Source organism: Homo sapiens, chromosome 15 (assembly GCF_000001405.40).
Source record: "Homo sapiens chromosome 15, GRCh38.p14 Primary Assembly".
Classification (NCBI taxonomy): domain Eukaryota; kingdom Metazoa; phylum Chordata; class Mammalia; order Primates; family Hominidae; genus Homo; species Homo sapiens.
This window is the reverse complement of record NC_000015.10, coordinates 55669763-55681884: the sequence shown is the minus strand read 5'-3', so window position 1 is coordinate 55681884 and position 12122 is coordinate 55669763. Positions and strand designations below refer to the sequence as shown.

Here is a 12122-nt window from a genome sequence, read left to right as displayed (position 1 = left end):
AACCCACAGATACTGAGGGCTGGCTATATTTCACTTTCGTTTTTAAAAGTGTAAAATACAGAAAGCACAAAAAAGAGAATAACAGTCATCCGTTTCTACCAGAATTGTCTGTTGTGGAAAAAGATATGCTTGTTTCTAGTCGTATTCTTTTGCTTGTCGTTTAAAGAAATACCACGATTTGCATTTGTAAAAATGATACATGCATTTTATAAAAAGCAATGTTTATGAAAATAGAAAATATAAAGCTTCTATATTAAACAATTTTTAAAAACACAAAAATAAAAGTTAAAAAATATCCTCAATCTTAATGCAAAAATTATCATTGTTAATATTAAGCGAGCACAATTTTATATATTTTGCCATACATTAATATAGGTAGAAGGGAAACTAGAGAGATGCATATAAAGAAATAGATATTTCATTAAAATGCAATAGATGATAGTTTTTATTTCAAAGGTTAAGTTTGTTTAAATGTAGTAGAAGAAAACCTGGACTGAAGACATTGTTGAACTTCACATAAATGTTTATTCTTCACAAGAGATACTGGTTTCTAACATATCCTTTAAGGCTGAAAAAAGAAGAAATTTAGAAAAACATTAAGAGGCTGAAGTTATGTATTTAATGCTATGCTTTAATTTTAGGTAAATTAAATAAATTTTAGATAATTATATAAATAAATGAATGTTTGAACCTCAATTAAAAGTAATGATACGGAAAATAACCTGAATGTCCATCAACTGATGAATGGATAAATAAAATGTGTTCTATCTATACAATGATATATATTGCTCAATATAAAGGAATGAAGTACTTATACATGTAACAACATGGGTGAACCTTGAAAACATTATGCTAACTGAAAAGAAGCCATTCAGAAAAGACCACATAATATATGGTTCCATTTATATGAAATGTCTAGAATAGGCAAATCCAGAGAGACTGAAAGTAGATTAGTGGTTACTAGGCTGTGGAGAGAAGAAGAGATTGGGAGTGACTGCTAATGGGTTTGGGATTGTTTTGGAGAGTGATAAAAATGTTCTAAAATTAATTGTGGTAATAGTTGTACAACTCTGAAAACTCTAAAAACCACTGAATTATATACTTCAGATGGGTGAATTGGATGGTATGTGAGTTATATCTCAATAAAGTTGTTTTAAAAAAAGAAAAGTGAGTGATAAGAATAAATGTCTCACTAATTTCACTTATTATATCTTATTTATAATTTATTTTTATATTCTGTCTTTTCCTCCCCAAAGCTAAGGAGTCAAAATCCTTCCACACACCAACAATTATAGCAGGTCCACAGAACATAACAACATCTCTTCATCAGACTGTAGTTTTGGAATGCATGGCCACAGGAAATCCCAAACCAATCATTTCTTGGAGCCGCCTTGGTAAGTCTTCTCAGGAAAAAAAAAAAAAGTCTTTTCCTTAAATTTTGTTCATTCTAATGAAATTTATAAAATGTTTATTTTATATACAAAAACACAGGTTTGGCTGTTGAATGTCTTAATTTTTTTGGCATTTCAGTGAGTAGAGAAAAGGTCTTAACATGGAGAATTTTATATTTAATTTTATACTTTTCATGATTGATTGCTTGGATAGTGGTCTTTTGACATAATTTCAGGTTATTTGTTACATTGTTTAAACTGAAGTATTCTCTTTGAAATAGATCACAAATCCATTGATGTCTTTAATACTCGGGTACTTGGAAATGGTAATCTCATGATATCTGATGTCAGGCTACAACATGCTGGAGTATATGTTTGTCGGGCCACTACCCCTGGCACACGCAACTTTACAGTTGCTATGGCAACTTTAACTGTATTAGGTATGTTCCTTTCATTCTGCAATCAGGGGAATCTTACATTTTAACATTTGCCGTTTTATCTCATTCATAGCTTACTTCTTTCTTGAGCTTTGTAGCATTGATATGAAGTATTGTAATCAAATGATGAATTTCAGGAAAAAACAAATATTTATGTTAAAATATAACTGTAGAATCATTCTGAGGTCACCATTCTGTTTACATGCATACCATTATGTTCCTTCTTATTTAGGCTTCCCTTCTATCTCCATCACACCTACACACATATCCGTGTACCTATTTGCCAATTTAAAAATTTAATCTCTTGATTATTGCCACTTGCACTGCATTCGCATGTGGCTATATATTGTTCTTAGTTAAGAAGGATGATAGGTACATATATTTTAAGTGTGTCTATATAGATGCTCTGAATAGGGAAATCATGGAGGAAGTGAACACTGAGCAATGCCGAGAAAAGGCACCTGGAGAGATGTATGGAGATGTAGACAGGAGCTCAGCATGTCAGGCATCTTCAGGAATGGGGCTTGTTTCATTTGCTGTTTTCTTCCTTGACCCTTTACATCATTCCTATTAGGATCACAGAAATATTTCATTTTTTTCTTTAAAAATAGCTCCTCCTTCATTTGTTGAATGGCCAGAAAGTTTAACAAGGCCTCGAGCTGGCACTGCTCGATTTGTGTGTCAGGCAGAAGGAATCCCCTCTCCCAAGATGTCATGGTTGAAAAATGGAAGGAAGATACATTCGAATGGTAGAATTAAAATGTACAACAGGTAGGCTGTGTAACTTTGCTACCATTTTATATATGATATAATGGCTTTAGTAATTTTTATGTGAAATGGTTATAATAATATCAAATACCTAAATTATCTTGATAGTTATTAACAAAATGAAACTAAACTAAGAAATTAAGACTTATAACATTATCATGTCATACATGTGCTATGCTAAATACTCATTGGTATTTTATACATGGGTCATGAAAGTGGTAGATGGTAATAAAATGCATGTTACACAGTTCCCCAAACTCCAGGGTTCTAGTGCTATTAAGCCACCACTAGAGTTAAGTTACCACAAGAAAGCATATTAGCTCCTTGGGGTCTTAGTTCCTTCTTCCACAAAATGAGGAAATTAGAAGAAATAATTCTCTAATAATTTCTCTATAGTTAATGATTTTAATAATTCATTTTTATTAGCATAAATACAAATTATTGTAACATTCTCATTTGTGTTGAACAAAACTTAAAAATTTTTGTTGACCTGAATTCTATGTACACACTATAATATTCTGTAAATTAGATGGTATTCAAGTCATATAAATTCTTAATGAGCCAAATTTAAAAAAATAAGTTGTTACCTAAAGCAGAGAGCATTTGAATATCACAAATATTAATGCAGACTCAAAAATGAATAATTTTAAGTGATTAATGTAGAATATTTTTCATAGGACAGATTACATAGTTTTTGTTTTGTTTTGTTTTCAGTAACTTTTATTATCTAAAATGATACTATAAGCCAGACATGGTGGCTCTAGCCAGTAATCCCAGTGCTTTGGGAGACCAAGGTGGGAAGATCACTTCAGCCTAGGAATTTAAGACCAACCTGGGCAACACAGTGAGACCTTGTCTCTACAAAAAATTACAAAAAGTTTAAAAACTACACATGCCTGGAGTCCCGGCTACTCAGGAGGATGAGGCAAGAGGGCGAGAGGATTATTTGAGCCCAGGAGTTTGAGGCCGCAGTGAGCTGTGATTGTGACACTGCACTTCAGCCTGGGTTACAGAGTGAGACCCCGTCTCTTTAAAACAACAACAACAGAAAGAAAACGACAAAAACAAAAACACACCAAAAAATCTTCAGGATTCCACATAGTTGCTGCAGTGTTCTACAAATGCTTGATTTTAATTTTAATTTTAAAATAAAATAAAATGAGAGTATATTTAGCAATAGCTAAACTTTATTTTGAATTCATTCTTAGAATTTTTCATGGAAATAATTTTTTTTCTTTCCCTAGTAAATTGGTAATTAACCAGATTATTCCTGAAGATGATGCTATTTATCAGTGCATGGCTGAGAATAGCCAAGGATCTATTTTATCTAGAGCCAGACTGACTGTAGTGATGTCAGAAGACAGACCCAGTGCTCCCTATAATGTACATGCTGAAACCATGTCAAGCTCAGCCATTCTTTTAGCCTGGGAGAGGCCACTTTATAATTCAGACAAAGTCATTGCCTATTCTGTACACTACATGAAAGCAGAAGGTAAGCGATTTTAGGAGTGCTTATTTTTAAGTACTCCTTGCTATCAAGGATTTGTTTTCAGTACGAATAATGCCTTACATAATCCATAAAATATTTTTGAAATTTGGTGGCATTTATCTTCTTTGATAAAATAATCTATCACCTATGTATCTATTGTTTTCTAAATTTCATGTTGTGTACTTTGTATATGTAAGTATAGTTTAAGATTTTTCTGTTTAGAAACAATTACCAGCTAATGCAAAGCATCACTGCCTGCTTAGAAGTTACAAAGTGGTGTACTTACGAATTTCATTCCAGACAAGGTATAAATTCCTTAACTGAGACTTAATATACCAACTTATGTATGTAGTTACATTAGAACAGTGGTTTGACTGTTTAGTAAAATAATAAACTATGTATATTTATTATTTTTAAGGGAGAAAGTAAACATTGTCAAATTCCCCATATTTTTGATTTTGTATATTTTAAGTATTTTGTATATTTTGAATGTTTTCTGAAATCATATAGAACCCTCTGAAAATTGAACAGGACATTCTTTACTGCTATCTCATCATATAAAAGTAGAAATCAAATGTGTCTTCCAATTTTTGTTCAGAATTATTGGTTCTATTTTGGAGATTTAAAAATTTTTCTTATATTTTACTTTTAGCAAATGTCTTAGAGGAAAAAGAGAAACTACTGATAAATCCTAGAAATTTCTCTCTTGCTTTTTCATAGAAACCATGGTAGAGGCTTAGAAATTTCAGTTCTATACTTCAACAGCCTAGCTTTTATGGAATATACGTTAAAAACAAATTCAAACACCTAAGGATGGGGATATAATAAAATTAGCCATAGAAACAGGTGGTTTGTTGTTGCTGCTGCTATTTGTTTTTTGTACTTTGAAGTAGGGTTTTGAAAAGGAATATTTTGAATGTAAATCAGGGGTCATGGAAGCAAGAAGAATGAAAGTCTGATAACTGAGCATGCTGGAGTATGTTAATTCCCTTTTTAGTGATTTATGAAGGTAAAAGGAATGCTGGTTTTGGTGGGGACCACTCTTGTTCCCTATTATGGTTGTTTCATTAGAGCCTCCACATGAGGCTCAGTGGTCTATTCAGGAATGGAACAAGGCTTTTTAATTCGAACTCAAGGACCTTGTTTGGTAGGTCAGAAATCGTACTATGCAGCTCCTAATTAACAAGCCATTAGCCAGTCTGTTGTGAAATGCCTGTAATCTTGTCTAATTAAAATGCTATCAAGTTAATTCAGAAATGTGGGAAAACTTAATACTGGAATTTGCCTTCTGTTTTGTTTATAAATCCAGTGTGGGGAGAAGGGACTCCGTCCTTAGAGAGATTTGATTAAGTTGACATGCGTTTACTGTGAATTGTTAGCAAAGCACAGTGGCTGCCAATGCTCTTGTTCCACTTTACAGGTTTGCTCTGTAGGAATTAAATCCTACAAAGACAAATCCTCTTCTATACCTTGTCATGCATATTTGATTAAGAGTTGCTGAGAATTTTTTTCTCTTAAAAAAAAAAACTCACTGTGGGACAAAGCATTTTGAGGCACATTCTGTGACTCCCAGTTTTTTTGCCCTCAGTATTATAAATAAAAGAACAACTTATGTCAGTCAAATTTAATAGAATCTCTAGGGGCAAAATGAGATCTTTCGCAGGACAACTTCTGGTTTGGTTTGTTTTTCTAAAGAGTGGAGCCATTACATTCCCTACTGTCTCTCCATTTATGTTTAAAAGAAAAAAAACCCCATGAGTTGAAGCAAGTAAAGTTTACACTGTTATGAATTACAATATTCTGTTGTGTTAAGCTCTGTTATGTTACTACTGTACATTGTCTCTGCTGTGGGTTTTGACTAGATGGTAAATGAAGTTTAGAGAAGATGAATTCTTTTCAGTTTGATTTATTCAGGAAAAATGTCCTCTAATAATTTGTAGTGAAATATGGTTACTTTTAGAAAATAAAGACCTTCCTGTTCACATTTTGTAAAGGGGCACAGAAGATAAGAGATTGAGATTAGACCCAAGGACCAGTGTTTCACAGTGCAGGAAAATGGTCTTGTTAATTTTATTTTGAATATCTGTCATTTTAAAACATGGATTCTTTAATTTAGGTTTAAATAATGAAGAGTATCAAGTAGTCATCGGAAATGACACAACTCATTATATTATTGATGACTTAGAGCCTGCCAGCAATTATACTTTCTACATTGTAGCATATATGCCAATGGGAGCCAGCCAGATGTCTGACCATGTGACACAGAATACTCTAGAGGATGGTAAGAAAACATGATTCTAGATCATTTCAGTATGAACATTCGTATGTTTTGTCAATTTCAATGAATAAATGTGTTTTAAAGAAAATATCCTCTTTTTGGTTAAAAAACAGGTATGTTAAATTTGCCGTTCAAAATCTCACTCTTGCTTTTTGCCAGTAACATAAGGATAAAGAGCACTTTCAGAATATAAAATTTAATAATAAAATTCTTATATTCCCATTGTATTTCTTCAAAGGTTACTAGTTTAAATTGTAAATATGTTGCAAACTTTTTTGTACTGAATAGAACATTTTCTAGGCATGAATAACTGTAATGACTGTTACATATTGAGTGTATGTAGTGACCAGGGCCAGAGGTACTGGACTTCTGAAACTTGGACTTTATACGATTTATCACCTGTCAAAAAATTCTTAGCACTTAGTACCTGTTGATTAACTACAATATGCTTATACTACTTAAGGGGGAAAATATTACTTGTTCAGTTTGTTTCCTAACCATGGGTTGAAAATTGAGTTGTGATTCTTTTAGGGAAGGCCAGATATTCATATTATTCTTATAATGGTGGGAAATTTCATCCATATTAAGATAGCCCGAGAGAACTGATTATCCTCCTCTGAGTCTTCATACCATATTGTAAAAGAAGGGATCTGTCTTTCCAGAGTCTCTAGAAGACCTTTTTTAGTACCCTGCAATGTGAAGGGGAATGATTTAATACATGCTTAATCAATACTGTTCTCACTTAGCAAATGTTTTATCCTCAAGCAATGATCTGCTCTTAGTTTTTAAAATGTTTTTATATAATCTCCAAATCTCCTTTTTTTCCATTTAGTCCCAGATCTCTTATTATATCTTTATCATGCCACTTATTTAGGTGTTTATAAAATCAGACTTAGAATAAATGAAAAAAGGTTCACTTATGTGGTTAATGAATTCCAAATTTTAGTTTTCATTGAAGAGCCTGTTCCACTTTAGAGTGAACTACAGTATATATGACATCTCTAGTTACCTCGTTGCTATTAACAACCTCTGTTATGCATGTCTAAGGTGAAAAGCAGGCTAATAAAGATAGATTTTGTGTGTGTGTGAGGTCTGTTCTCCCTCTATATCCTTGAAGAAAGTGAGTCTTAGCATAGCAGGGAAACACTGTAAAAGGAGCTATTATTATTTTCTTCATTTTGTGTCTGAAGAAACCTAGGTAAGAGAGGTTAATTTGGTCAAGATCACAGAGTCGTACATGGTAGAACAAGGTTTCAGACACAGAGAAGCTAACTCTAGAACCCATCTGAACTCTTAGACCACCTGTCACTGTATTTGACTCATTTTCCTGAAATGCAGTTTTATTAAAATGTTTGGAGGAAAAACTGTTTTTATATTAAACAACATATGTTGTAATTAGGAATACAAAATTCACATTAATTTTTAAGATGCAACTCTTACACTTCAAAATATTATTTGCTTGGTTATAACTGTAGAATACTAGGCTTCCCCACCCTTGTATAATTCACTCTCCCTTGTTTCGAAGCCACTTTGGTGGAATTGTTTGAGAAGTATTCTCATATTTTGTATGAATATCAAATATTCTCATATTCATTCCAAACAACAAAACAATCACAGCCACAGTGAAGAATATCTTATATTCTTTGTTTCCACACACTTAGCCCTCCCTCATTATTTTTTCTTCTTTTTTCTGGTTTGTACTCTGTTTCACTGAAAACCTCTGCTAGGGCTGAAAGTGTCTCTTCTTTATTATATGTTGCTAATTAAGAGAATTCAGTTACTGGTGTGCTAAGTGGCAATTCGATTCTAAATATTTATAAACAACCTGATTTCTTCTATGACTAGTTCCCCTGAGACCTCCTGAAATTAGTTTGACAAGTCGAAGTCCCACTGATATTCTCATCTCCTGGCTGCCAATCCCAGCCAAATATCGGCGGGGCCAAGTGGTGCTGTATCGCTTGTCTTTCCGCCTAAGTACTGAGAATTCAATCCAAGTTCTGGAGCTCCCGGGGACCACGCATGAGTACCTTTTGGAAGGCCTGAAACCTGACAGTGTCTACCTGGTTCGGATTACTGCTGCCACCAGAGTGGGGCTGGGAGAGTCATCAGTATGGACTTCACATAGGACGCCCAAAGCTACAAGCGTGAAAGGTGAATTTCTGAAGACTGTTAAGAAAATACAGTATTTTTACTTTTGAATCAAGTTTTTCTTCTCTAAATTATGTTTATATTTTTAAATTTTGTTTTACAAATAAAAATATTCCATAGATGATGGACTTAATTGAAAAAAATTAAACTTTTTATTAAGTAGTCGCTTTTGCATAGAGTTTATTTGTGTGTAAACTTTTTGGTTGTGCTGTTAGTTTGCTTAGCAAATGCCTCATGGACAGATCAGTCCAAATCAAACTGAGTTTCCAAAGTAAGATATTCATAGAGGCCTAATTAATATTATTGCCATATATTTTTAAAATCCTTAGTTCAGTAGGAGGACTATAGGACTGCAAAATTCTAGACCCTTCTGTTTTACTAACGTGGAATGTAACACGACTGGTTTTCTTGTTAATTGGCTGACAATAGTGCCTGTTCTCTATATCACAGAGGAGTGTGGCCAAAATTAGAAAGTATTTATTGCCTCTTTGAAAAAAAATTAAATGTCCAGATATTACTATTTATATATCTTGGTCTTTTTAAGATAGTATTTTATATATTTTAAATTTTGATCTCAAAGTTTAATATTATTGTGAAATTTGGAAAGTTAGGTTATAGTATAATTTTTGGATTGAACCTTTTGGTAATTGTTTGCTTAAAACTGAGAGAACTACCCTATTCTGTGTCTTTATGTGGATATTGGGTTGTTTATACATACATTTTCTGATGAATTTTGCTAGCCCCTAAGTCTCCAGAGTTGCATTTGGAGCCTCTGAACTGTACCACCATTTCTGTGAGGTGGCAGCAAGATGTAGAGGACACAGCTGCTATTCAGGGCTACAAGCTGTACTACAAGGAAGAAGGGCAGCAGGAGAATGGGCCCATTTTCTTGGATACCAAGGACCTACTCTATACTCTCAGTGGCTTAGGTGAGTGAGTTTGTACTGTATTTTTCCCTTTTTCCTTCCTCTCTGACAAACTGCGAAAAAAGTTATTGGATCTAAAGCAGGAGAACTTACTTAATGGTACAAAGAAAAGAATTGATTTTACTATGTCAGTGTGTATATGCTACTGCTGAAGTCAGTGATTGGTCTTTGACTTACCATTGTGAGTCCAGTGGCAAAATATCAGGCAGCCATTGTATCTTTCTATCTTTGTCCAGCTCTGTGAATCTGCTTTTCTTTGTGGCGTTCACTTCTGGTAGACTGAGGTCCTGATCAATTATTGTGAGTGTGTGGCGGATGTAGAATAGCAATTAGAATAGGGATATCACCAAATCATACTCAGTGGTTAAGTTTCACTTAAAATGTGCCTGAGAGTACTATATAATTGCTATATAATTACAAATTAGGTATAAATAATGCCCTTACATATGACCCATGTAACTGTGAATATTTATGTAGCTCTAACCCAGGAACACTGGAGAAAAAGCACTTAACTTTGTATTTGAGTTCGTCAGTGTTCTGAAAGACATTGTTTTATTCCCTAGTCTTCCTATCTTTGTAGAGTGAAAGGAATTTCATGATATAAACATGTTTAGTAGAAAGTAATGTATATCCAAAATGAATACATGGGCCAGGCGTGGTGGCTCATGCCTGTAATCCCAGCACTTTGGGAGGCCAACGCGGGTGGATCTCTTGAGGTCGGGAGTTCAAGACCAGCCTGGCCAACATGGTGAAACCCTGTCTCTACTAAAAAAATACAAAAATTAGCTGAGCCTGGTGGCACGCTCCTGTAATCCTAGCTACTTGGGAGGCTGAGGCAGGAAAATAGCTTCACCCTGGGTGGTGGAGGTTGCAGTGAGCCAAGGAAGATCGCGCCACTACGCTCCAGCCTGGGCGACAGTGCGAGATTCTGTCTCAAAAAAAAGAAAAAAGAAAAGAATACATGGATATAAACTATAAACTGACATAAACTCATCAAGGTATAAAATGTACACTTAGCTATTTGTTGCTCATAAGTAGATTTTTACCCTTAAGTACAAAGCAGTCCCTTTGATTATGATGACTAACCTGCTAAATACCTACTGAATTGTTACACCTTCTGGACATATTAGGATTTTACAGAGCACTCTGGCTTTTCCTTTCACAGACTGCCCTGTGAAGGTGAGGGGAGGTAAAAGGCTCAGCTGTACAGCCATGGGCTTCTCTGTGTCCTTCCCTGGACTCATGGTAGCACAGGCTGTGTGAGCAGCATTAGATTTGAGTCTCTGCACAGTAAGAAGCAGTGGTGGGAGACTGTTTTCAGATGCAGGGACACAGAACTTCATCCTGTGGTTCTATGCAGTTTTCCAGATGGTATTTTGCTTATAATCTCATTATGTTGGTTTTTAATTTAATCTGCATTCAGTTAAGTAAGTTTCACTATTGATCTCTGTCACACAGTTTTTTCTTTTCTCTTCTTTGTGTGCACACACAAAGTGTGTGTGTGTGTGTGTGTGTGTGTGTGTGTGTGTGTGTGTGTGTGTGTGTTTGTGACGGAGTTTTACTCTTGTTGCCCAGGCTGGAGTGTAATGGCACAATCTCAGCTCACCGCAACCTCTGCCTCCAGGTTCAAGCAATTCTCCTGCCTCAGCCTCCCGAGTAGCTGGGATTACAGGCATGCACCACCAAGCCCAGCTAATTTTGAATTTTTAGCAGAGACGGGGGTTTCTCCATGTTGGTCAGGCTGGTCTTGAACTCCCAACCTCAGGTGATCCGCCCATCTCAGCCTCCCAAAGTGTTGGGATTACAGGCGTGAGCCACTGTGCCCGGCCTGTCACACAGTTTTGTAAATGAAGAGGAGAAATTACATATGTTTCACCTTCCTTAAGCCATTGATACTGAGATGACATTAGCCCAACCTACTGCCACTGAAGCCAGCAACATTTATTCCTAGTCATGGCTTCTCAGTATTCTGTCCCTTTCCCTGCATATTATTGATTCGAGAAAATTTTGCTTAGTTATTATGTAAGAAACATGATTTGGGACAATTGTTGATGAAGAATCATAGATCAAGCTTACTACTTCCAATTTTCTCACTGTTAAAATATGAATATATAGAAGATACAAAAAATACATTATTAGCATGCTCTTATACATCACAGGGAGCTTATTCTAAATAGGTGACTAATTTATTAGAAAAAAACTTGGGTTGTGAAAAGTTTAGAGAGACATTTTATTAAAACTTTGGCAATTAAAAGCAATTCTTCAAAATTTTCTACAGATACATATATGCATATATATACACACACACGCATGTATGTATTTATTTATTTATAAAGAGGAAGACCCATTGATCTTTGTTGAACTTTTTAAATCATCTCTGAACTATAGTCAACTTTTAAAACTATAAACCTTTATTTTCTCCTGTGTTTTAAAAATAAATCATATATTCCTGCCCTTGTTTTTATGTTGTAAAATCCACTGTGTATGCTATTTGAGGTAAATCCATTTAAAATCACTTCTAATGCATAAACTGGAAAATTATTTTGTCAATATACTATGTCTATTAAAATAGCTGCATGTTTCCTGACTGTGGAATTATATTGAGTGATTGGACTGATTGCAGTTCAGGATAACAGAGACCTCTTGCAGCTGTAGAGACTTTCTTGTTAGACAGCAGGTTCCGCA

General features: G+C 34.6%; 1 protein-coding gene across 5 annotated transcripts in view; it reads left to right on the top strand.

Moving 5' to 3' along the window:
* PRTG (protogenin) overlaps positions 1-12122 on the top strand; it is a 131609-nt gene that overhangs the window by 61268 nt on the left and 58219 nt on the right. For all 5 annotated transcript variants that reach the window (NM_173814.6, XM_017022081.3, XM_017022082.3 and 2 more), the window contains exons 5-11: positions 1257-1394; positions 1673-1831; positions 2440-2599; positions 3841-4088; positions 6202-6366; positions 8209-8514; positions 9252-9440. In NM_173814.6, the coding sequence (NP_776175.2) occupies positions 1257-1394; positions 1673-1831; positions 2440-2599; positions 3841-4088; positions 6202-6366; positions 8209-8514; positions 9252-9440 (1365 nt within the window). The remainder of the gene's footprint in view (positions 1-1256; positions 1395-1672; positions 1832-2439; positions 2600-3840; positions 4089-6201; positions 6367-8208; positions 8515-9251; positions 9441-12122) is intronic.